The 25,363-nt window shown below is 53.7% G+C and overlaps 1 protein-coding gene across 20 annotated transcripts in view, besides 2 other annotated features; it reads left to right on the top strand.

Annotated features, from left to right (window-relative positions):
* The window catches only part of SPTBN2 (spectrin beta, non-erythrocytic 2), a 62,186-nt gene extending 41,021 nt beyond the window's left edge, over window positions 1-21,165 (top strand). For 17 of the 20 annotated variants that reach the window (XM_047427495.1, NM_001437541.1, NM_006946.4 and 14 more), the window contains 23 exons: window positions 1,941-2,078; window positions 2,380-3,136; window positions 4,054-4,256; window positions 4,580-4,670; window positions 4,877-5,023; window positions 7,122-7,385; window positions 9,299-9,523; window positions 9,801-9,890; window positions 10,216-10,476; window positions 10,562-10,692; window positions 10,922-11,126; window positions 12,004-12,378; window positions 13,379-13,623; window positions 13,719-13,857; window positions 14,482-14,566; window positions 14,813-15,009; window positions 15,351-15,493; window positions 15,583-15,658; window positions 15,744-15,794; window positions 16,015-16,235; window positions 16,495-16,668; window positions 17,222-17,264; window positions 17,558-21,165. In XM_047427495.1, the coding sequence (XP_047283451.1) occupies window positions 1,941-2,078; window positions 2,380-3,136; window positions 4,054-4,256; window positions 4,580-4,670; window positions 4,877-5,023; window positions 7,122-7,385; window positions 9,299-9,523; window positions 9,801-9,890; window positions 10,216-10,476; window positions 10,562-10,692; window positions 10,922-11,126; window positions 12,004-12,378; window positions 13,379-13,623; window positions 13,719-13,857; window positions 14,482-14,566; window positions 14,813-15,009; window positions 15,351-15,493; window positions 15,583-15,658; window positions 15,744-15,794; window positions 16,015-16,235; window positions 16,495-16,668; window positions 17,222-17,264; window positions 17,558-17,791 (4,495 nt within the window). In that variant the 3' untranslated portion in view covers window positions 17,792-21,165. Of the gene's footprint in view, window positions 1-1,940; window positions 2,079-2,379; window positions 3,137-4,053; window positions 4,257-4,579; window positions 4,671-4,876; window positions 5,024-5,493; window positions 7,081-7,121; window positions 7,386-9,298; window positions 9,524-9,800; window positions 9,891-10,215; window positions 10,477-10,561; window positions 10,693-10,921; window positions 11,127-12,003; window positions 12,379-13,378; window positions 13,624-13,718; window positions 13,858-14,481; window positions 14,567-14,812; window positions 15,010-15,350; window positions 15,494-15,582; window positions 15,659-15,743; window positions 15,795-16,014; window positions 16,236-16,494; window positions 16,669-17,221 lie in introns of those variants that run through there. The other 3 variants (XM_047427496.1, XM_011545217.3, XM_011545216.4) reach the window with 3 other exon arrangements.
* Window positions 8,345-8,845: an enhancer, noted in NCBI's record as "H3K27ac hESC enhancer chr11:66462288-66462788 (GRCh37/hg19 assembly coordinates)". NCBI's record gives its function as "activates a minimal SCP1, AML or CMV promoter by ChIP-STARR-seq in primed H9 embryonic stem cells {active_cell/tissue: H9 hESC(primed)}" and the evidence as "EXISTENCE:reporter gene assay evidence [ECO:0000049][PMID:30033119]".
* Window positions 17,384-17,884: an enhancer, noted in NCBI's record as "H3K4me1 hESC enhancer chr11:66453249-66453749 (GRCh37/hg19 assembly coordinates)". NCBI's record gives its function as "activates a minimal SCP1, AML or CMV promoter by ChIP-STARR-seq in primed H9 embryonic stem cells {active_cell/tissue: H9 hESC(primed)}" and the evidence as "EXISTENCE:reporter gene assay evidence [ECO:0000049][PMID:30033119]".

Genomic DNA, 25,363 nt, shown 5'->3' with positions numbered 1-25,363 from the left:
GGGTTCCAGCGATTCTCCTGCCTCAGCCTCCCAAGTAGCTGGGACTACAGGCACCCACCACCATGCCCAGCTAATTTTTTGTATTTTTTTATTAGTAGAGACAGGGTTTCACCATGTTAGCGAGGATGGTCTCGATCTCCTGACCTCGTGATCCACCCGGCTTGGCCTCCCAAAGTACTGGGATTACAGGCATGAGCCACTGCGCCGGGTCAGGAATTTCTTGATATGATCTATGATCAATGTGTAATCAAATTTCCTGGTGTTTAAAAAAATATAATTAGGTCAGGCCTGGTGGCTCACACCTGTAATCCCAGCACTTTGGGAGGCCAAGGCAGGAGTATCACTTGATTCCAAGAGTTCATAACCAGCCTGGGCAACATAGTGAGACTCCACCTCTACAAAATTTTTTTTTTAATTAGCCAGGCATGGTGGCAGGCGCCTGTAGTCCCAGCTACTGGGGAGGCTGAGGCAGGAGGATTGCTTGAGCCCAGAGGTCGAGGCTGCAGTGAGCTGAGATCGTGCCACTGCACTCCAACCTGGGTGACAGAGTAAGACCCTGTCTCAAAAAAATAAATAAAAATAAAAATGTAATTAAAGATTTTTTTTAGTTTTCAAGGTATCCTAATGTAGAGGTTAACAAACTGCAACCCTTGGGCCAAATCCAGCCTGCTGCCTGTTTCTGTAAATAAAGTTTTTTTTGGTTTTTTTTTTTTTTTTTTTTTTTGAGACGGAGTCTTGCTCTGTCCCCCAGGCTGGAGTGCAGTGGCACAATCTTGGCTCACTGCAAGCTCCGCCGCCCGGGTTCACGCCATTCTCCTGCCTCAGCCTCCCAAGTAGCTGGGACTACAGGCACCCGCCACCACACCTGGCTAATTTTTTGTATTTTTAGTAGAGACGAGGTTTCACCGTGTTAGCCAGGATGGTCTCGATCTCCTGACCTTGTGATCCACCCATCTCAGCCTCCCAAAGTGCTGGGATTACAGGCGTGAGCCACCATGCCCGGTCTGTAAATAAAGTTTTACTGGAACAGAGCTACACTCGCCCTTTTGCGTATTGCCCGTGGCTGCTTTCAGGCTACAGCAGCAGGGCTGAATAGTTGCCGCAGCAGCTGCATGGCTCACGAAGCCTATAATATTTACCATCAAGCCCTTCACAGAAAACATTTGCAGACCCTGCCCTATTAGAACATCAAATGTCGGCCAGGCGAGGTGGCTCACGCCTGTAATCCCAGCACTTTGGGAGGCCAAGGCGGGTGGAGCATGAGGTCAGGAGTTCAAGACCAGCCTGGCCAAGATAGTGAAACACCCGTCTCCACCAAAAATACAAAAATTAGCTAGGCTTGGTGGCGGGCACCTGTAATCCCAGCTATTCGGGAAGCGGAGGCAGAAAATTGCTTGAACCCGGGAGGCGGAGGTTGCAGTGAGTCGAGATTGCACCACTACACTCCAGCCTGGGTGACAGAGCGAGACTCCATCTCAAAAACAAAACATAAAATGTCCCTGGAAGAAGTTATCCTTCACATTTTCATCACTCAGACAAATATTTTTGGTTATTACTTCATTTTCTAACACATATTAGTGGGATGAGACCCAGATAGGCAGCTAAGGGGGAAGTCCCAGGAGGCTGAGCAGCTCTGATAAAGGGTTGGCCCCATGCCAGGGTCTAGTTTGACTTGTGTGTCTGTTCCTGACCTTTACCTTTCACCATCTTTTGAGCATTTCTAGCGATGACAGTTATTCTGCTTGTTTTGGGGGAGTTGTGGGTTCCTTCCTTGATGCACAGATACTATGAACCTCATAGGCTGAGAGGCAGAGAGACTCCTGCAGATAAGCCTCCTGGTGAAGGAGACACCCTCCTGGGTGTTTAAGAGAGGTGGACTTAGGTGGACTGGGCACATCGCTGCCTCCCACAATTCACGCCTGGCTCTTCCACCCTCTCAGGTTCGAGACCCTGGAGCCTGAAATGAACACCCTTGCAGCACAAATCACCGCGGTGAATGACATTGCCGAGCAGTTACTGAAGGCCAACCCCCCAGGCAAAGACCGCATTGTCAACACCCAGGAGCAGCTCAACCACAGGTGGGTTTGGGAGGGCAGGACCAGGAAACTGACAGAAAAATGAAGCAATGGGGATGGCAGTGAGAGGCAGGTTTTGTAGGGCCTGGAAGGGTGGCTACAAAGGAGGAAGCAAACCAGTCTGGAATATGTTGGGGAAGGAAAAAGGATGAAAGAGATGAGAGAGGGGGTCAAGGTGGTCTGAAGCGGCTGCTGGCCAGAAAGGGAGGAGTGAAGGGGAGCTACCAAGAGAGAGAGAAGCAGGGAAGAAGCTTCCAAACAGGCCTGGCCAGGGCAGGAAGCTGAACCTTCCCCCTGCTCTCAGGTGGCAGCAGTTTCGGCGTCTGGCAGACGGCAAGAAGGCAGCTCTCACCTCAGCCCTGAGCATCCAGAACTACCACTTAGAGTGCACGGAGACCCAGGCCTGGATGAGAGAGAAGACCAAAGTCATCGAGTCCACCCAGGGCCTAGGCAACGATCTGGCTGGGGTGCTGGCCCTGCAGCGCAAGCTGGCCGGCACGGAGCGGGACCTGGAGGCCATCGCCGCCCGGGTGGGCGAACTGACTCGAGAGGCAAATGCCCTGGCTGCCGGCCATCCCGCTCAGGCAGTGGCCATCAACGCCCGGCTGAGAGAGGTGCAGACCGGCTGGGAGGACCTCAGGGCCACCATGCGGCGTCGAGAAGAGTCGCTGGGGGAGGCGCGGCGGCTGCAGGACTTCTTGCGCAGCTTGGATGACTTCCAGGCCTGGCTAGGCCGCACTCAGACTGCTGTGGCCTCTGAAGAAGGGCCGGCCACCCTGCCTGAGGCAGAGGCCCTCCTGGCCCAACATGCAGCCCTGCGGGGAGAGGTGGAGCGGGCCCAGAGCGAGTATAGCCGGCTGCGAGCCCTGGGCGAGGAGGTGACCCGGGACCAGGCTGACCCCCAGTGCCTCTTCCTACGACAGCGACTGGAGGCCCTGGGAACTGGCTGGGAGGAGCTGGGCCGAATGTGGGAGAGCCGGCAAGGTCGCCTGGCCCAGGCCCACGGCTTCCAGGGATTCCTGCGGGATGCTCGTCAGGCTGAGGGCGTGCTCAGCAGCCAGGTGAAAGTCCAGGGCAAAGTCCCAAGCAGGAGGAAGAGCAAAGTAGGGACCCGGGGAAATGTGAAGGAGCAGGATGGGCAGGAAGGACATGCTAGCAAAATGGGGCAGCGCAGTGGTTCACACCTGAAATTCCAGCACTTTGGGAGGCCAAAGTAGGAGGATCACTTGAGGCTGAGAATATCCAGACCAACCTGGGCAACATGGCAAGACCTTGTCTCTACAAAAAAATTTTTTTAAGAAAATAGAAGAATTTTTTAAAAAGAAAAATGGGAGCCAGACAGGATGGCTCACACTTGTACTCCCAGTATTTTGGGAGGCCGAGGCAGGAGAATAACTTGAGCTCAGGAGTTTGAGACCAGCCTGGGCAACATAGTGAGACCCCCATCTCTATGAAAAAAAAAAATTAACTGGACATGGTGGTGCATGCCTGTAGCTCCAGCTACTGGGGAGGCTGAGGCTGGTGGATCACTGGAGCCAGGAGTTTGAGGCTGCAGTGAGCTATGATATGCCACTGCACTCCAACCTGGGCCACAGAATGAAACCCTCTCTCAAAAAAAAGAAAAAGAAAAAAGAAGGAAAAATGAGAATGAAAAAGACGTGAATATAATTTACTAAAACTGACTTTAGAAGAAATAGAAAGCCCAGTTTGTCATGTAACTGTTAAATGGAATCAGGAGCTAGAAGTGAGATAGAACAGGATTTGGGCTGGGGAATGGAAGGTCCTTCCCACCCAGCTTCCCTGTGACTTTCTGAGGCTCCCATGCTGGCTGGCAGCCTCCCTGTCTTCAGAGCTCTCTGGGCTACCCTCCCTGTCTGCTTGTTGGTCCCTACCTCTCAGATTTGCCCCTGGGTGGGTCCCTCCTAGGGGGGTGAATTGTGCTGGGGAAAATGAGCTGAATGTCATCCCTCCCACACAGGAATATGTTCTGTCTCACACGGAGATGCCAGGGACACTCCAGGCTGCTGATGCTGCCATTAAAAAACTGGAGGACTTCATGAGCACCATGGACGCCAATGGGGAACGGATCCACGGGCTCCTGGAGGCTGGCCGCCAGCTGGTATCTGAAGGCAACATCCACGCCGACAAGATTCGGGAAAAGGCAGACTCCATTGAGAGGAGGTCTGATGAGGACAGTCCATGAATTAGGGTTCCCAGGGGGGAATCGGAGAAACAGGGTGACCTCAAAGATAAACGTGGCACAGGAAACCCACAGATGGGGCAGGAGCTGACAGAGAAGTAGAGGGGAAGAACTAAGTGGTTGGAGAGGGCTGGGAGATTCCACCCCCAACCAGGGCTAAAAGGAAGTCAGGATTCCTGGGTAGCCTCATTGTGCTCCCGGAAGGCGTTATTCCCCTAGAAGAAATGGAGGCCCCTAGGTTAGCCAAAGGGTCACAATCCTTTCACAGCAAATTCCAGAGTTTCACAAGAGGGTGTCGTTCCAGGCACAAGAAGAATCAAGACGCAGCGCAGCAATTTCTGGGCCGTCTTCGGGACAACCGGGAGCAGCAGCATTTCCTGCAAGATTGTCACGAGGTGAGGCTCCCTGGGGCCCCGGGATATTCCCTAGCCATCCCTTTCTCACCTTGAGCCTAGAATAAGTCCAGCACAAGGTACCGGAGACTGTGAGCCCCTTCATGGCTTCTTCCCAAGGCGCCCACTTCTCCTGGCTCACTGTGGCCCTGCTTTTATGCCCCCCTCTCCCCTCCCTTGGAAATGTCCCTGTTTTATGTTTGGTCCAGCTGAAGCTCTGGATCGACGAGAAGATGCTGACAGCCCAGGACGTGTCCTATGACGAGGCCCGCAACCTGCATACTAAGTGGCAGAAGCACCAGGCATTCATGGCCGAGCTGGCTGCCAACAAAGACTGGCTGGACAAGGTGGACAAGGTGAGCAGTGCTGTGGGGGCTGCCTCTGGGCAGAGTCCCCCATGGTACGGGGGAGGGCCTGGCTCCAGGACGTGGTTTTTGTCATGGTTAGAGATTGTGGGGTTCTGGTGCCACAGCTCCATGGTGGAAAGTTATGGCCTCTGGGAAACAAACGTCTTTGTTGGAGACAAAGAGTGGGACAGTGAGTCCAGAACCTTGATAAAGTACAAATTAGCAGGTAGCGAAACTGCAGCCTGGATTTAACGCCATAACTGTTCCTGAGTTCAAAGCAGGATGGTGCTCTTCAGCAGGCTCTGCAAACCTTGTCTGGAAAGGGCTTGGGCTGGATGGTCAATATCTGAGGCTTTGCAGTCCAAACAGTTTCTACTACAACTACTCATCTCTGTCGTTGTAGTGCAAAAGCAGCCTCAGAGAATAAGTGAATGAATGAACATGGCTGTTTCCCAATAAAACTTTATTTGTAAAAACAGGCAGTGGGCCAGATTACCCCGTGGGCTGTATGTAGTCTGCCAATCCTTATTTTCGAGTCTTGCCGTCCCTGGTTCTTGGTCTCCCACCCAGCTGTTCCTCAAGAGTCAAGGACAGATAAAGCTTTATATCTGCTCAGCAAGTATCCCTACAGAACATGGTACGTGCTCAACAGTCTGCGAGGCACTGCAGGGTCTACGAAAAGACACTTTCCTTTTCTCAAGGGCATGATGGTTGGGACAAAAGGAGACCAGTGTGCTTTCAAGTGTTTCCATTCGTTCAGCAAATATTTACTTGGTGCTACTATATCCAAAGCATTGTATTAGGCCCTGCGTGGGGTCCGAAAGGGATCCCATGGTAGGCTCCACCCTGAAGGAACAACACTGTAGCCAGGATATGAGGCATATATGCAGGTAGCTAAATCGAATCCAGAGCAGAATCTGATGAGTGCTGTGAGAGTGGCCCCGTTGAAGCCTGGGGAATAAGGAGAGAGGAGATATGGAAATTCTAGAAGCAGCAACATCCAGGGCAGTCCATGGAGGATGAGTAGAATTTGGACAAGTGGAGATATGGAGGAAAAGATGTTTCCAGGTAGAGAAAACCAAACAGAAAACCAGTGGTAGGCAGTGCCTGTTTGGGAGCAAGGGGGTGAGTGAGTCCAGCAGCAGCACAGAATGTGTGCAGGGCCCCATGGAAGAAGAGGTGGGAGAGAAGCCCCGGGAAGTCCTGACCACCACATGCGTGTGCTTCCAAGTGTTGATTGTGCTCAGGGTTGTGAAGCTACCCAGGCAGTGCTAGCCTTTGATGCTCTCCATCCTGACAGCCACAGCCACCTGCAAAATGGCCTGAAGGCAGTGTCTGGGTTTGTGTTCCCCTAGAAGCAGACCCTGAAACAGTGATTCTAGGGAGGTGTCCCCGGGAATGATCAGTAGGGGGGTGGAGCCATGAGAAGGGACAGAAGTCATGCCAGTTACCCCCATGGGCATCAGGAGCCCAACCCTCATGGGGCATTCTGCGGGGGTGTAGATGGAACACAGAACACAGCACTCTCACAGCCACGGCACAAGGATGCTGTGTGTTTATCCATCAGCTCCCTGTCTGTCACTGGTTGAGGGCTGCTTCTGGGCTTGTTAACTCTGTGGCTCTTCCAATTTGCCTTCCACACAGTTCAAGAGAGCACACTTCCCTCACCACCCCAGACACAGAAATCCTCAAGCAGAAAAGCTGGAAGTGGGGAAACCAGGTGGGACTCAACTTGCTATCACTGAAGTGAAGAGTAATGAGTTGAGAAATACAAAATGATGGCAAATAACTCAAGTCAATGTGCAGTGTGGTGCCAGAAACCACAGGCACCAAGGAACCCAAACTAAAGAGAGTGCAAGGGCTTCCTCGTTGAAATGCTGTTTGAGCTGGGTCTTGAAGGAGGAGTGGGGTTCATCAGCAGTGAGGGAACAGCAGTTTAGAAGGGATTTTAAACCTCCGTGAAGAGTGTGTCGATAAGAACACACAAGGACTTGGAATTATTGCCCACACTTCAGGTCTCTACTGCCCGTAAGGCCCCTGGTCTGCTCTCAGCCTCTAAAGTTCAGGCTAATTTGGGCACTTTGACATTTTCTGTCCTGCCTTCCAGGAAGGGCGAGAGCTCACCCTTGAGAAGCCAGAGCTGAAAGCCCTGGTGTCGGAGAAGCTGAGAGACCTGCACAGGCGCTGGGACGAGCTGGAGACCACCACCCAAGCCAAGGCCCGCAGCCTCTTTGATGCCAACCGAGCTGAGCTGTTTGCCCAGAGCTGCTGTGCCCTGGAGAGCTGGCTGGAGAGCCTGCAGGCCCAGCTGCACTCGGATGACTACGGCAAGGACCTCACCAGCGTCAACATCCTGCTCAAGAAGCAGCAGGTGTGCTGTGGGCCTTTGATGGGGATGGTGAACAGCAGAAGAAAGGGGCTGCAGCTTTCAAGATTTGGGAGGCCAGCTGAGGCCTGGCAGATAACACCTTCACTAGCATTTCCCAGAGTCATTTCTTTGGGCAGCCAGTATCAGAATCTCTAGGGATATGTCGCAGTCAGGGTTAGAGTTAGGAGACAGACCCCCTAATAATTTGACGATGAGAACTTCAGTAAAAAGAAATATTAATTAGGCCAGGCACAGTGGCTCATGCCTGTAATCTCAGCACTTTGGGAGGCCAAGGCAGGCAGGTCGCTTGAGGTCAGGAGTTCAAGACCAGCCTGGCCAACATGGTGAAACCCCGTCTCTACTAAAAATACAAAAATTAGCCAGGCGTGGTGGCGCACGCCTGTTATCCCAGCTACTTGGGAGGCTGAGGGCTGAGGGAGGAGGATAGCTTGAACCCAGGAGACAGAGGTTGCAGTGAGCCGTGATCATGCCATCGCACTCCAGCCTGGGCAAGCCTCTGTCTCAAAAAAAAAAACAGAAGTATAAATTAGTAAAAGGTGGTAAAGAGAACTCTATAGCAGGGGTCAGAAAACTTTTTTCAGTAAAGCACCAGATAGTAAATTTTTGGGGCTTCATGGGTCGTAAGGTCTATGTCACAGCCCTTCAACTCTGCCCTTGTAAGGAAAAGCAGCTGCGGATTATATGTAAAATAAGGGGTATGGCCAGGTGTGGTGGCTCACACATGTAATCCCAACACTTTGGGAGGCCGAGGTGGCCGGATCACTTGAGTCCAGGAGTTTTGAGACTAGCCTGGGCAACATGGCAAAACCCCATCTCTACAAAAACTACAAAAATTAGCTGGGCGTGGTGGTGGTGTGTGCCTGTAGTCCCAGCTACTCAGGAGGCTGAGGTGAGAAGATTGTTTGAGCCTGGAGAGTCGAGGCTGCAGTGGGCTGTGATCGTGCCACTGCACTGCAGCCTGGGTGGCAGAGCGAGACTTGTCTCAAAAAATTTTTTAAAAAGGGGTGCAGCTGTGGTCCAATAAAAACTTTATAAGGCTAGGCAGTGGGCTGGACTTGCTGGTCCCTGCTCTGAAGAATGCAGAATGGGAAGTGTAGGGAGCAGCTGACACCTCTGGGGTTGAGGAGTCCCCCAGGAAGGAGCAAGATGGCTGAGTCTCAGACCTCCTTGGAGAGGGCGGAGGCCCACTGAATGGCCTGGAAATTTGCTGGGGTATCACAGGCCAGAGCATGTCTGAAGCCAGCAAGCCAAGGCTGGCCAGCAGGAAGTGGCCACTAGAGTGCAGCAAAACTTGCCAGAGAGTAAGAGCCACCGGATCTCTTGCGCACTGTGGACAGTTTTGCTGTAGGAGGAAGAAAAGCACCTTGGAACCGTGGAATGCCCCACATCTGCTAGGCATTGTGGTGTCCCTCCAGCGCCCTCTGCTGACAAGGCCTAGATTGTGCCTGCTGGCAAAGGAGGAATGTTTCCAGGGGCCAGTTCCAGTGTCTCAAAGCAGGGCCACGATGGATTGGGGATGGAGAGACAATGAATTGATAATGGGCACAGTTATCACACTACCCTGGATTTTTTAATTTCAATCTTTTAGATTCGCGGGTGTGGGTGCAGGTTTGTTATAAGTTATATTGTGTGATGCTGAAGTTTGGGGTGTAATTGAACCCATCACCCATGTAGTGAGCACAGTACCCAATAGGGATTTTTTCAACCCCTGCCCTTGGATTCTTGTGCATATAAAGTTCGAGATCCACTGATCCAGCCCATGAGGGGATGCTCTCCCTGGGTGAGCTGCAGTGATGAGCAGCCACAGTGGGCTGGATAGAGACTGGTTGGTGTCTCTGCTGGGCATGAAGGCGGAAATGCAGAGCTAACATGTCCTTCCTCCTGGCGGTTTGCAGATGCTGGAATGGGAGATGGCTGTGAGAGAGAAGGAGGTGGAGGCAATCCAGGCCCAGGCCAAAGCACTGGCCCAGGAGGACCAGGGTGCAGGGGAGGTGGAGAGAACCTCGAGGGCCGTGGAGGAGAAGTTCAGGGCCTTGTGCCAGCCCATGCGGGAACGCTGCCGGCGCCTGCAGGCTTCTCGCGAGCAGCACCAGTTCCACCGCGATGTGGAAGATGAGATTGTGAGTCACTGGGGCCAAGGACGGCAAGCTGCCCCCAGCCATGTGGTTCTCCAGCCTCCCTCCTGGATGCCAGGGAGATGCCAGCAGGGCTCTATTCCCTCTTCTCTTTGGCATTGACCATCTCCCCTATAGGGAGACTTGGAGATGCCTCCCAGAACCAGAGATGACTGTTCCCCACACACAGGGCGGTAGCCCCAGGTGTCCCCACTCCCACTAATCAGTCCCTGCTGCTTGCCTTGCCCTCTGGGCCTCCACTGACCCCCTCTTCCTCTTCCAGTTGTGGGTGACAGAGCGGCTGCCCATGGCCAGCTCCATGGAGCATGGCAAGGACCTGCCCAGCGTCCAGCTTCTCATGAAGAAAAACCAGGTGAGGCAGAGGCTGAAGGCAAAAGAGAAGTTCCCAGGAGCCTGCCCAGACTTGGACGTGTTTTTTCTTAAGACCAGGCCCCCCTCGATGCTGAGTGTAACCCTGGACTTCAGTGGCTGTCTTTCCTCACCTTGGGAGGGTGGGTCCTCTCAGTAGGAGATAGTGGGGGCTGGGCGGCTGACGGGTGTTACCATCGCACCCCCAGGCTAGGAGAGGGAGCAGAGGACCCAGGAAGGAGAGAGGCACAGGGGTGAAGGGTGGTCTCCGGGAGCACGTGGGGCTGGGGCAGGACTTTCAGCATTTTCTCTTCTGTGGCCATGGGCAGACCCTGCAGAAAGAGATTCAGGGCCATGAGCCCCGGATCGCGGACCTGAGGGAGCGGCAGCGTGCTCTAGGTGCAGCAGCAGCAGGTCCAGAGCTGGCTGAGCTGCAGGAAATGTGGAAACGCCTGGGCCACGAGCTGGAACTTCGAGGGAAGCGACTGGAGGATGCCCTGCGAGCCCAGCAGTTCTACCGCGATGCCGCCGAGGCGGAGGCCTGGATGGGCGAGCAGGAATTACACATGATGGGCCAGGAGAAGGCCAAGGTGAGGGCCAGGACAGAGCCCAGTGTATGTGACCAGTTCTGCCCTCCCCTGACCTGATGCTGGATGCCACTGTCCCTTCCCCCAGGATGAGCTGAGTGCCCAGGCAGAGGTGAAGAAGCACCAGGTGCTGGAGCAAGCCCTGGCCGACTACGCGCAGACCATCCACCAGCTGGCGGCCAGCAGCCAGGACATGATTGACCACGAGCACCCAGAGAGGTGGGTGCAGCGGCAGCCCGGCCCAGCCTGGGGGTGGAGCCGGCTGCAGGAACAGGAAGGTGCAGGGAATGTGGAGCCTTCAGTGCTGTGTGCACGGAGCCTTCTAGAAAGCTGGAACACAGGGTGGGCGAGCTGTTGGGAGACTCAGAGGGACAGGGCTCCACAGAACAGACCGGAGGTCAGAGCTACACCCCTAAGTCCCACAGTGCCTCCCTCACTCTTCTTGCAGCACTCGGATATCCATCCGCCAAGCCCAGGTGGACAAGCTGTATGCCGGCCTGAAGGAGCTGGCTGGAGAGCGGCGGGAGCGCCTGCAGGAGCACCTCCGGCTGTGCCAGCTCCGCCGCGAGCTGGATGACCTGGAACAGTGGATCCAGGAGCGCGAGGTGGTGGCGGCCTCCCACGAGCTGGGCCAGGACTACGAGCATGTGACTGTGAGTGTAGGGAGGGCACCCAGCTCAGATCAACCGTGGGAAGAGTGGAGGACCCACAGGGAGACTAGGACCTAGTCCCAGGCAGAGCACTGAGGGGCTAAGGGGCAAGACCAGGCTGAGCAGGCACTGTCCTCCTGGTTTTGAGGTATATGATTTGAAGAGGCCGGGCATAGGCTCACACCTGTAATCCTAGCACCTTGGGAGGCTGAGATGGGAGGATTGCTTGAGTCCAGGAGTTCAAGACCAGCCTGGGCAACATAGTGAGACCCCCCATCTCTACAAAAAAAATTTTTTTTTATTAGCCAGGCACAGCCGTGCATGCCTGTAGGCCCAACTACTTAGGAGGCTGAGGTGGGAGGATCTCTTGAGCCTGGGAGGTCGACACTGCAGTGATTGCGCTAGTGCACTCCAGAGCAAGACCCTATCATCTCTAAATACATACACACACACACAATTTGAAGAATTGTACAGAAAGGGGACATGAAGCTGAGCTGAGACAAGGGCAAACAGGAAATTATCACTCACACTTTTCAACAGAATTCAACAAAACGGAGTATGATCCACCCCCCCGACAGTTTGGGGGCTTGGACCCTCAGTCGTACAGAAATATGGACCATAGTTAGGGTATCCTTGTCTGAAGCCTAAGGGTCCCAAGCACCTTGAAACGCCTTTGCTGGGGGTGGAGGGAGTCTGTCAAATACAGGGTCAGTGGGAAGCAGCTGCACCTACTCCTTAACCACAGGGAAGAAACCTGTCCCGGCCCCCATGCAGCGGGGAGAGGTGGGTTCTGAGTTTGGAGTGGAGGACTCGCTCCATCAGGCAGGGACCACATCCCCTAACATCACGGCATGGTCTGTCCATCTGCTTCCTCTACCAGATGCTCCGAGACAAATTCCGAGAGTTCTCCCGGGACACAAGCACCATCGGTCAGGAGCGCGTAGATAGCGCCAATGCGCTGGCCAATGGGCTCATTGCTGGGGGCCATGCTGCACGGGCCACCGTGGCCGAGTGGAAGGACAGTCTCAACGAGGCCTGGGCTGACCTGCTTGAGCTGCTGGACACACGGGGTCAGGTGCTGGCCGCGGCGTACGAGCTGCAGCGCTTCCTGCACGGGGCACGCCAAGCCCTGGCGCGGGTGCAGCACAAGCAGCAGCAGCTTCCGGACGGGACTGGCCGCGACCTCAACGCTGCCGAGGCCCTGCAGCGCCGACACTGTGCCTACGAGCATGACATTCAGGCCCTCAGCCCCCAGGTCTGACCCAAGCATGAGGAGGTGGGGGAGGCTTAGAGGAGGCCATGGGGGAAATGCCGGGGAGAGTTCCCAGGAGCTAGGGTAGAGCTCAGAAATGCTGGGAGGACGGCACTCTTTCGAGGGCCATTTCGAGATGAGGAAATTGCTCCAAGAAAACATCTCTGTTTGGCCAGGCGCGGTGGCTCTCGCCTGTAATCCCAGCACTTTGGGAGGCCGAGGAGGGCGGATCATCTGAGATTGGGAGTTCGAGACCAGCCTGACCAACATGGAGAAACCCCTTCTCTACTAAAAATACAAAATTAGCCAGGCATGGTGGCGCATGCCTGTAATCCTAGCTACTCAGGAGGCTGAGGCAGGAGAATCACTTGAACCCAGGAGGCGGAGGTTGCAGTGAGCTGAGATCCCTCCACTGCACTCCAGCCTGGGCAACAAGAGCGAAACTCCGTCTCAAAAAGAAAGAAAACATCTCTGGCAGGGGACATCTAGCCACTGCATTCACACTTTTGATGACAAGCCCCCTTGAGAGCCCATGATGTCTTCAGGGGTTCCCAGTGGCCAGGAGACTCTTCATGCTGCGCTAAATCAGCCTGTTAGTGCTTCCCAGGCTTGAGCTCTAGGCTCACACTCAGTAAGCATGGATCCTTCCTTCAACCACTAGAACCCATCAGCCCCTGCCTGAATCCCCTTTTCAGGCTAAGTAGCACGTTCTAGCAATCTCCAAGGTCTATCACATCCTAGACAGGCCTCTGAAAGTTCAACTGGCCAATGGCTCTTTTCCAGATCCTCCCCCAGTTAAGCCCAGGTGTCTAGATGAGACCCAACAGGGCAGAGTGTGGCCAGCCCCTGCCTTCATCTTTCCCAGCACCCCCACTCCCTGGCTCCTCCCCCTGCTTCTTTGGCTGTGAGACAGGCAGGAGGTGAGAGTGGCAGCCAGGACTGAGGCAGGCTGCGGCTCCTTGGAGTCCCCCGCTCTGCCTGACTCTGACCCGGGGCTCCGCAGGTCCAGCAGGTGCAGGACGACGGCCACCGGCTCCAGAAGGCCTACGCTGGAGACAAGGCTGAGGAGATCGGCCGCCACATGCAGGCCGTGGCCGAGGCCTGGGCCCAGCTTCAGGGAAGCTCTGCCGCCCGCCGGCAGCTGCTGCTGGACACCACAGACAAGTTCCGCTTCTTCAAGGCTGTCCGGGAACTGATGCTCTGGATGGATGAGGTCAACCTGCAGATGGATGCCCAGGAGCGTCCCCGGTGAGAATCCCAGGGCTCAGGGCCTCCACGGGTTGTGTGGCTGGGCTGTGATGGGGCTGTGGGCAGCAGGTGATGCTGTTTCTGCCTCCCCCCAGGGATGTGTCCTCCGCGGATCTAGTCATCAAGAACCAGCAAGGCATCAAGGCAGAGATAGAGGCCCGGGCAGACCGCTTCTCCTCCTGCATCGACATGGGGAAGGAGCTGCTGGCCAGGAGCCACTATGCGGCCGAGGAGGTGGGTGAGGCCTGGGTGGCCGGGCCATTCTCACTGTGCAGTGCTGAACGCTGACTTCTTGGTGGCTTTCTGCTTCCTCTCATTCTCTCTTTGCAAGAAACCTTTCATTCTCTCCCCTCAGTGCCATTCACGGGTTTCTCGCATTCTGGAAATCTCTCCCCAGAACCGTCTGCCTCTTGACATCAGAAATCACTGGTCCTGGGCCAGGCATGGTGGCTCACGCCTGTAATCCCAGCACTTTGGGAGGCCCAGGCGGGCAGATCACCTGAGGTCACGAGTTCGAGACCAGCCTGGCCTCCATGGGTTGTGTGGCTGGGCTGTGATGAAACATGGTGAAACCCCGTTTCCACTAAAAACACAAAAATTAGCCGGGCGTGGTGGCGGGCACCTGTAATCCCAGCTACTCGGAGGCTGAGGCAGGAGAATTGCTTGAACCTGGGAGGTGGAGGTTGCAGTGAGCTGAGATTGCGCCACTGCATTCCAGCCTTGGTGATAAGAGCGAAACTCCGTCTCAAAAAAAAGAAAGAAAGAAAGAAATCACCTGTCCCCCTGGATGACTCCCCAGGGGCCGTGGAAAGATCTCACATCCTGGTGCTAACTCATATCTCTGCCCCCCGCCCCCAGATCTCAGAGAAGCTGTCTCAGCTGCAGGCACGGCGCCAGGAGACAGCTGAGAAGTGGCAGGAGAAGATGGACTGGCTTCAGCTGGGTGAGCTGCCAAGGGGGCCCCAGGCCCTGTGGGGAGTGGGGGGCATCCTGCACCCTGTGGGTTCCAGAGTAGGTGAGACTAGGAACCCTGGGTGTGAAACTCACGATGCCCAATCTTCGTGCTGCCTGGCACAGCTCTGGGGCAGTGGCTTTCTCTGTGTCCCTGTTCTTGAGGTTGCCATGGCCACTGTGCCCTGCCAGTGGCCACTCTGACCCACCATCTTCCTGCAACCCCCGATCCTGCCAGTTTTGGAGGTGCTTGTGTTTGGAAGAGATGCAGGGATGGCAGAGGCCTGGCTCTGCAGCCAGGAGCCACTGGTGCGCAGCGCTGAGCTGGGTTGCACGGTCGACGAAGTTGAGAGCCTCATCAAGCGGCACGAGGCCTTCCAGAAGTCAGCAGTGGCCTGGGAGGAGCGATTCTGTGCGCTGGAGAAGCTTACTGCGGTGAGGGACACAGGACCCCGGATGCCCACTCCAACCTGCTCCCCTGACCTGTGCTGGCTTCTGCTTGGAGAAGACATGTCTTCTCTCTTCCCACTGCACCAGTGGCCCCCAGATGTGAGCTGAGAGTGCCATTGTCACCACACCTTTAGGAGGTGTCAGTTCCCCTGGGTGATGCCGAGACACCTTCTCCCGCTTTGTTTCTTGTCCCCACCATCTTCTCAAATTCTGTTCTCCTCTTATCATATTTCATCAAATTAGAGTTGAGACATTTCAGCTCTCCCTGTTTCCCTGGCCCTCTTACACGCAACCTTCTACACGCTGAATGCAGCATTTTTTGACAGCTAGAGGAGCGGGAGAAGGAGCGAAAGAGAAAGAGGGAGGAGGAGGAGCGGCGGAAACAGCCGCCTGCTCCCGAACCCACAGCCAGTGTGCCTCCAGGGGACCTGGTGGGCGGCCAGACAGCTTCTGACACCACCTGGGACGGGTGAGAGCCAGGATGCCTGGGTAGGAGGAGGCGGCTGAGCCCAGGCCACCCAGGGACTAATGATTCTGTGTTGCCTTTGGTCATCCCAGAACCCAGCCACGGCCACCACCATCCACACAAGCACCCAGTGTTAATGGAGTCTGCACAGATGGAGAGCCCTCACAGGTGACCCCACTGTCCCTCTGTGCCCCCATCGGAGTCGTAGCCCCTCCACCCCCGCACATCCTTTTACAGATTCTTGTCCTTGCAGCCCCTGCTGGGACAACAGAGACTTGAGCACAGCAGCTTCCCCGAAGGGCCGGTGAGTTCCCCTGCAAGTGTGGTGTTGATAACTGTGAGGCGAAGGGTCCAGAGGGGGTGGTGAGTGCGGGTGGGGGAGTACTGGGGATGGGATGGGAGAGGGCAGAGGCTCACAGGCAGCTTGGGGGCAGGAAGACCAACTCCTGGACACGGAGCTTCCTGGCACCCAGGTTAGGGATCTCCCGTCTCAACCTTTGACACTGACACTGATTCCCCCCCAGGGACCTGGCTCAGGGGACGAAGCCAATGGGCCCCGGGGAGAGAGGCAGACCCGGACTCGGGGCCCGGCCCCATCTGCAATGCCCCAGAGCAGGTCTACCGAGTCAGCCCATGCTGCCACCCTGCCGCCTCGAGGCCCAGAGCCATCTGCCCAGGAGCAGATGGAGGGGATGCTGTGCCGCAAGCAGGAGATGGAGGCCTTCGGGAAGAAGGCTGCCAACAGGTACAGCCTCTCTGGAGCCTGCTCTCAGAGGGCACTTCCCCAGAGCCTCTGCCCAGATAGAGGGAGGGATGCCCTTTAGAGTACATCTTCTGGGCAAAGGGTAGGACTTGGGACCAGAGCGGGGCCTCAGGGGAGGACCAGAGGGTGTGAAGACCGTGGCCTAAAGATGGGAGCAGAACTGGAAGTCCTAGGACACCCAAGAGGGCTCCAGGTTGCGGGCGCCACTGAGGCCGGCCAGTCAGCACCGCGTCCCTCGCAGGTCCTGGCAGAACGTGTACTGTGTCCTGCGGCGTGGGAGCCTCGGCTTTTACAAGGATGCCAAGGCAGCCAGCGCGGGAGTGCCATACCACGGAGAAGTGCCTGTCAGCCTGGCCAGGGCCCAGGGCAGCGTCGCCTTTGATTACCGAAAGCGCAAACATGTCTTCAAGCTGGGGTAGGAACAGGGAACAGTGCTCTCGGGATGGGAGGAGAGTTGGGAGTGACACAGGTGAGCCATGAGTCAGGTCCAGAGGGAGGGGAGTTCCTGTAAGGAGCCTGAGTGGAGTAACCAGGCCAGCCACTTGGGGATAGTGTAGATGAGGGAGGCGGAGATTCTGGTTGTCTCCACACCAAGGGGAGCAGGAGAACCAAGACCCAGGCCTGACGGCTGCCAATGTCAAGGTGAAAAATTACCCAGGGTGGGAAATCCAAAGGTAGGGATCTGGGAAGACCTCCAGGGGCCTGTCCCTGCCTGCCAGCAAGCAGCCGGAGCAGGAGGCCCGGGCTGGGGTGGAAGTGAGCTCCCCCTGCCTCTGGGGCCAGTCAGAAAGGATGTGCTTCTGCACAGTCTGGGGAAGCTGAAGAATGTGCAGAGCGTGTCTGGTCCGGCTCTGAGGGCTGCAGCCAGATGTCCCAGCCTGGTGTTGGGTCATGATTACGCTCTCACCAGCAGCTACCTGGCAGATCCGGATTCTCAGCTCTGCCCTGTGGCCTCTCTCTCCCAACAGCTTACAGGATGGAAAAGAATATTTATTCCAGGCCAAGGATGAGGTGAGCTGTCCTTCGTGTTCCTCTCTGTCCGTGCCATTCCAGAAGCTTCCAGCTGCAGACTCCCCTTCTTTCCCTGTCCTCCCTCTTTTTCCTGGTCTTGTCCTTTGTGGTAAGACTGGATGTGTGCGACGGCCGCACCAGGCCGCACTCCCTGTCTAAGCCGGCCACATTCTCCTAATAGCATGAAACAGTCAGCTCACTTTCTGCCTCCTCCTCTTACACTTCCCTGCTGTCCACTGCGGCCAACTCAGCACAGTGTCCTTGAAGCTGATTGAGGGTCTTTCCATCCACAGGCAGAGATGAGCTCGTGGCTACGGGTGGTGAATGCAGCCATTGCCACAGCGTCTTCTGCCTCTGGAGAGCCTGAAGAGCCGGTGGTGCCCAGCACCACCCGGGGCATGACCCGGGCCATGACCATGCCCCCAGTGTCACCCGTCGGGGCTGAGGGGCCTGTTGTGCTCCGCAGCAAAGACGGCAGAGAACGAGAGCGAGAAAAACGCTTCAGCTTCTTTAAGAAGAACAAGTAGTTGGGGGCAAGGTCCCAGGCCAACTCCCTCCCTCCGTTCAGGAAACTGCCAGGGACAGTCGACAGGGACCGCCCTCTTGTCAGGACAACTGCCTGCTGCTAGGGTCTGTTGCCAAGGTCAACCCATCACCAGGAACTGTCACTGGGGACGAGTCCATGTTCCCAAGGGCAGCCCTTCTCTTCTGCTGTTTAATTCCAGACTGGTGGTGGGACCCAGGTAACCCCCTCTCCCACCCCCGCCGACTTCTCCCCTTTCCCCAGCCTCGTGCCTCTGTCCCTCACCACGGTGTGGACAGTGCCGCACCCTCAACATAGGCCATGTGGGGAGTGGCTGCCCCTGCCTCAGGGTCATTCTCCTGCCATGCGAGGGCACTCGCCTTCTGCCTTCTGGTTCCTCACCCCTCAGACCAGCCAGGAACCTCTCAGAGCTGAAGCAGGCCCTGGGGGCAGAAGTGCCAGATGACAGTCAGAGGCGCAGGAGCCCTCCCTCCCCACCCCCACCCTGTAACTCCAGCTGCCACTCCATCTCCAGCTGCTCTCAATGGCTTCCAGGTGTGTTGTTCGGGGACAGCCACCGCCTTGAGTCTGGCCAAGGAGGTGATTAAACAGCTCAGCTTCTCTCACCGCCTCTGGGTGTCTTTGCTTTCCTGACCACAGCCTCTCTGCCCAAGCCTGTGTCCTCTCCTTCCGTTCTGGTCTCCTTCATCTCACGTTTCCCCAGCCTCCAAGCTCTTGAAGAGCCGTGTCACACTGAGAGCTTCCCTGACCTGGTCTCATTTCCCTCTGACAGTGACCTCCAGTGTGCTGGGTTGACCAATGCCAAGCCTCTTTTTAAACCAAAGTAGTTCACCATGGGTTGGGATGATGTCAACAAGCAGTATTCATGTTAAAAAGCAATGAGGGACTCCTTCCCTGGTGCACAATTTTCTTCACTTGTGATCTCTAAACTGTTTTCAAATTGGAAGACTGGGAAGCATTGCTACAGCCCCAGCCAGTCTCAGCCACTGCTCAGCCCAGTGGTGGAAAGCTGAGCACACAGCGGGTGCTTACTGCCCCCACTTGCCGTCTGCTCTCCAGTAGATCAAGGGACCTCAGACAGGGATCTGAGAAGTGGCAGGTTCCAATAAACTGATCAACAGAATGAAGTCACTCTGGGAAGCCATGAGGTGACTTTACAGCCCAAGCATGTAAATATACACACAGAGGATAATATATATTCTTTTTTTTTTTTTTTTTTGAGACAGAGTCTCACTCTGTCAGCCAAGCTGGACTGCAGTGGCGCAATCACAGCCCATTGCAACCTCCACCTCCTGGGTTCAAGCAATCCTCCCACCTCAGCCTCCCGAGTAGCCTGAACCACAGGCACATGCCATCATACCCGACTAAGTCTGTTTGTTTTTTGTAGAGACGGGGTCTCACTATGTTGCCCAGGTCGGTCTCGAATTCCTGGGCCCAAGTGATTCTCTCACCTTGGCCTCAAACTGTTGGGATTACAGGCGTGAGCCACCATGCCCAGCTGAGACTACCTTCTGGATCTGATGAAGTATTAGAAAGGAGCGGGTGGCTTCTCCTTTGTCTCTGGTTTGGCAATCGGAGCTTTCAGGGCACAGTGTTTGTCTCCAGATGTTGATGGAAGTGGGCACTCCTTGGTGGCCTCCAACAGGAAAAGCGTGTTCTTTCATTGTTTCCTATACACACAGACAACCGTTTTTCCAGGAAGGCAGCCCCATCTTTAGTCATTGACTGCGGGCCTATCATCAGTCATGACGAAGACCGAGTTAGGTGTGTGCAGGCCCAGAACTAGCACATCACAGCCCCAGAGTGGGCTCCAAACCGGTAGACCAGAGAGCCTGCAGGATAATTTCCCCCTTAAGATGGGTAGATTTACTGTTCCACAGCCAACAGGTGGATACGCGTAACTAGAACAATCTGTCATGGGACTAAGTGGAAGAATCCATCAGCACTACACAGCATCTTTTCTTCAAATACAACTGTAAAATCTCCACTGAAGAGACAGTCATACCTTGGGGGTGCTCAGGGAATCTAGGTATTTGCACTCCAAGCTGGCAAGCCTGGGGGCACTGAAGGGAAACAATAATTGGAAATGTCAGAAGGAAATGTATATGGAGAAATTAATAGAGAAATGATTATTTTAACACGACACGTAAGTGTAAATAGGACAGCCAATTGAAGCAGTCCTGCAGTAGGGGCAGGCATTGTCAACGGAGAGGTGAGACTGAAGACCCCGAGCAGCATCTGCATATGCGGCAGCAGGACTTCAGGGCATGATTCCTTAAGAACAGGACATAGAAGAGGGGAAGCATAGTGTCAGGAATTAAGTCAGAAAACACCTTCAGCTGTGAGTGGAAGAAAGAAAAAATTCCAGGAAAGACAACAGGATGGAATGGGGCGGTGAGGGCTATGAGACAAGTTAGACACAAAAATACAATAAATGCAGGCAGCACAAATCAATGGAGAGAGATGGCAGATAAAAATGGATTACTTGGGCCGGGCGCGGTGGCTCACGCCTGTAATCCCAGCACTTTGGGAGGCCGAGGCGGGCGGATCACGAGGTCAGGAGATCGAGACCATCCCGGCTAAAACGGTGAAACCCCGTCTCTACTAAAAATACAAAAATTAGCCGGGCGTAGTGGCGGGCGCCTGTAGTCCCAGCTACTTGGGAGGCTGAGGCAGGAGAATGGCGTGAACCCGGGAGGCGGAGCTTGCAGTGAGCCGAGATGCCGCCACTGCGCTCCAGCCTGGGTGACAGAGCGAGACTCCATCTCAAAAAAAAAAAAAAAAAAAAAATGGATTACTTGGCCAGGCATGGTGGTTCACGCTTATAATCCCAGCACTTTGGGAAGCCGAGGTGAGTGGGTCACTTGAGCTCAGGAGTTCAAGACCAGCCTGGGCAACATGGTGAAACCCCATCTCTACAAAAATTAGCCAGGTGTAGTGGCATGTGCCTGTAGTCTCAGCTACTTGGGAGGCTGAGGCAGGAGCATTGCTTGAACCTGGGAAGCAGAGGTTACAGTGAGCCGAGATCATGCCACTGCACTCCAGTCTAGGCAATAAAGTGAGACCCTGTCTCAAAAAAAAAAAAATAGGATTATGTAGAGAAAAATATATTTGCATTCTTAACATCACCTACAAGAGTGGACTTTAGGTCCATGCTGTCCACAGCAGCAGCCACCCAGCCATGTGTGGCTACTGAGATGTAGCCAAACCAAGTGTGTCATGACTCTGAAACACCAGGTATGAAGCATGGAAGAGGACAACAACTTTAAATACCTTAATTTTTATATTGATTATGTGTTGAAATAATATTTTAGATATATTGGGTTTCAAAAGTATCATTAAAGTGAATTTCAACTATTTTGATGACTTTTTAAATGTGTTTGCTGGAAATTTTAAAATTGCATATGTAGCTAACATATTTTTATTGGATAGCACTGCTATAAATGGGCTCCAGACCTAAATGCAAAAGGCAAAAAATATGTTAATAGGCCGGGTACAGTGGCTCACGCCTGTGATCCCAGCACTTTGGGAGGCCAAGGCGGGCAGATCACCTGAGGTCAGGAGTTCGAGACCAGCCTGGCCAATATAGTGAAACCCCATCTCTACTAAAAATACAAAAATTAGCCGGGCGTGGTGGCACGCACCTGTAGTCCCAGCTACTCGGGAGGCTGAGGCAGGAGAATGGCCTGAACCTGGGAGGGGGAGGCGGAGGTTGCAGTGAGACCAGATCACACCACTGCACTCCAGCCTGGACAAGAGTGAAACTCCATCCCCCCAAAAAACAAAAACAAAAACCTAACGTTAATAGAATAAAATGTAGGAGAATATCTTGTGACTAAGGAGGCTACAAAAGAACATCTTATACAAAAGTTCAAAAGCAGGCCAGGTGCAGTGGCTCACCTGTAATCCCAGCACTTTGGGAGGCGAGATGGGAGGATCACTGGAGCTCAGAAGTTCAAGACCAGCCTGGGCAACACAGTGAAACTCTATCTCTACAAAAAAAATTTCTTAAATTAGCCAGGCATGGTGGCATGCACCTGTAGTCCCACCTACTTGGGAGGCTGAGATGGAAGGATTGCTTGAGCTTGGGGGGTTGAGGCTGCAGTGAGCCATGATCACACCACTGCACTCTAGCCTGGGCAACAGGCTGTCTCAAAAAAAAAAAAAAAATTCAAAAGCACAGCTTTAAGATAAAAATTAATTTCATTGCACAAGAAATAAGGATTTCTGTTCAATGAAGGACACCATGGACAGAGTTAATAATTAGTGGAATGAGAGATGGTATTTGAGACCAATAAGAGATTAGAATATATGAAAAAGCCTTACAAATCAACAACAAAAAAGGAGCCTACAACCTGAAAAGAAAGATGGGCAAAAGATATGAACAGGAAATTTACAGAAGCATAAACTCGAAAATTCAAGAGGCCAGGTGTATTTGCCTCACACCTGTAATCCTAGTGTTTTGGGAGGCTGAAGTGGGAGGATCACTTGAGGCTAGGAGTTTGACTAGCAACATAGTGAGAACTCGTCTCTACCAAAAACAAAAAAATTAGCTGGGCATATAGTCCTAGCTACTTGGGAGGCTGAGGGCTGAGGGCTTCAGCCTCCTGAAGCAGGAGGATTATTTGAGCCCAGGAGCTAGAGGCTACAGCAAGCTATGATCGTGCCACTGCACTCCAGCCTGCATGACAAAGCAAGACCCTTTCTCAAAAAACAAGTCTGGGCACAGTGGCTCACGCCTTTAACCCCAGCAATTTGGGAGGCTAAGGTGGGTGGATCACCTAAGGTCAGGAGTTCGAGACCAGCCTGACCAATGTGAAACCCCGTCTCTACTAAAAATACAAAAATCAGCCAAGTGTGGTGACACGTGCCTGTAGTCCCAGCTACTCAGGAGGCTGAGACAGGAGAATTGCTTGAACCTGGGAGGCGGAGGTTGCAGTGAGCTGAGATCGCACCACTGCACTCCAGCTTGGGCGACAGAGCAAGACTCCGTCTAATAAAAAAAAAAAAAGGTTGTGCGTGGTGGCTTACACCTGTAATCCCAGCACTTTGGGAGGCCGAGGTGGGCGAATCACAAGGTCAGGAATTCAAGACCAGCCTGACCAATATGGTGAAACCTCGTCTCTACTAAAAATACAAAAATTAGCCGGGCGTGGTGGTGGCACACGCCTGTAATCCCAGCTACTCAGGAGGCTGAGGCAGAAGAATCGCTTGAACCCAGGAGGCAGAGGCTGCAGTGAGCCGAGATAGTACCACTGCACTCCAGCTTGAGCGACAGAGTGAGACTCCATCACACACAAAAAAAAGACAACAAGAAGGGATGCTTAAAATCATTAGTAACCAGAGAAATACAAATTAAAGCAACAATGAAATATCACTTTATATCTATTAGACTGACAAAAATTAGAAAAGCGGATAATGTCTATCACTGGCAGGGATGTAGAGATACAAGGCCCCTCATATGCTACAGGTGGAAGAGTATGCTGGTGCAGCTTTTCCAGAGAATTCAGTGCTACTTAGACAGGTGAGTTCTACGTATACTCTATGACCCAGCAATTCCACCTCTGGTTTTATATCCCCCCAAATTCTCACACAGAATTAGGGCACATACTTAAGCATGTTCACTGCAGCCTTGTTTATAATGACAGAGAGCTGGAAGCTGAGTGCCCTATGCCCAGAGATGAACAGGTACAATATGTGACTGTACACCACAGAGGACTGCGTTACTCGCTAGTTAGACATCATGCGGCGACATAGCCCTTAGTGGAAAAATAGTAAGACACAGCTATACAACTCAAAACACACCATTTACATAATGCATACAAATGTACAATGTTTAAGTCCAGATTAGAAGAAATCAACTGTAAAAAGACATTTGTAACAATCCAGGAGAAATTTGGGCATAAACATTAGATAATATTAACATAGGATAGTGCTATTTTAAATTAGCAGCACATATAAGCCGGGTGCAGTGGCTCACACCTGAATCCCAGCATTTTGTGAGACTGTGGTGGAAACATCTTGAGCCCAGAAGTTTGAGACCAGCCTGGGCAACACAGTGAGACCCCCATCTCTACAAAAAAAAAAAATTTAAATTAGCTGGATGGGGTGGCCCACACCTGTGGTCCCAGCTGCTCCAGAGGCTAAGATAGGAAGATCACTTGCGCCTGCGAGGTCGAGGCTACAGTGAGCCATAATGGTGCCACTGCACTCTAGCCTGGACAACAAAGTGACACCCTGACTCAAAAATAATAGTAATAATAGTTAAGGGCCGGGCGAGGTGGCTCACGCCTGTAATCCCAACACTTTGGGATGCCAAGGCCAGCGGATCGCTTGAGGTCGGGAGTTCGACACCAGCCTGGCCAACACGGTGAAACCCTGTCTCTACTAAAAATACAAAAATTAGCTGGGGGGTAGCGCACGCCTGTAGTCCCAGCTACTCGGGAGGCTGAGGCAGGAAAATGGCTTGAACGCAGGAGGTGGAGGTTGCAGTAAGCCGAGATCGCACCACTGCCCTCCAGCCTGGGCGACACAGTGAGACTCTGTCTTTAAAAAATTAAACAAAAAATAAAAATAAAATAAAATTGGAAGGACAGTGCCTCTTCTGAAATGGCTGAGAAACAAAAAGAACTCAGGTAAAGAACATATCCAAGTAGCTGGGGTGGAAGAGGGCAGCCTGGGGAATGTGTCCCAGATGGTATCAGAGAAGCCATTATGGAGCCACTAAAATGAGGAATGGTGGCTGACAACCTCCCTGGCGGGCTCTACTAGGAGATAAACCCAATCCATCAATCTCCATAAAAGGCTACTCTTTGCTGGAAGGTGACAGTGGGGAATCAGCCTAAACTTCTTTTTTTTTTTTTTTTGAGACCGAGTCTTGCTCTGTCACCCAGGCTGGAGTGCAGTGACGCCATCTCGGCTCACTGCAACCTCCGCCTCCCGGGTTCCAACGATTCTCCTGCCTCAGCCTCCCGAGTAGTTGGGATTACAGGCGCCCGCCACCACGCCGGGCTATTTTTTGTATTTTTAGTAGACACGGGGTTTCACCATGTTGGCCAAGCTGGTGTCGAACTCCTGAACTCGTGATCCGCCCGCCTTGGCCTCCCAAAGTGCTGGGATTATAGGCGTGAGCCGCCGCACCTGGCACGCCTAAGCTTGTTTTTACCGCCAGGAGGTGCCCTTGGACCACAGCTGAATTTTGAATGCTAGACAGTCGGGAAACTCAGTTGCCTAGACTTCCAGCTTGGTGTGTACGAGGAGACCCTGTCCCACCCAGAACTAGGGACCTCGCTGGGCCTCTCCACCAAGTATTCCTCTGGCGTGCTCACCACAGACCAGGACTGTGATGGACACACAATGAGTGAGAGAGAATCAGACCACGGATACTCACGAGCAAACAAAACATGACTAAGCGTAGCCTGGGTAGCAATGCCTCTTAGGCCTGTCCCAGTTCTGCCAGGTTATCTTTCTGCCCCTTGGTTCTCAGTTTCCGTAGCAATAAATAACACCTCTGCAATGACAAACTTTAAAATAATGTTTAAAGCGCTACAAAACA

This window comes from Homo sapiens, chromosome 11 (assembly GCF_000001405.40).
Source record: "Homo sapiens chromosome 11, GRCh38.p14 Primary Assembly".
Lineage (NCBI taxonomy): Eukaryota > Metazoa > Chordata > Mammalia > Primates > Hominidae > Homo > Homo sapiens.
This window is presented reverse-complemented; position numbering and strand designations above follow the sequence as displayed.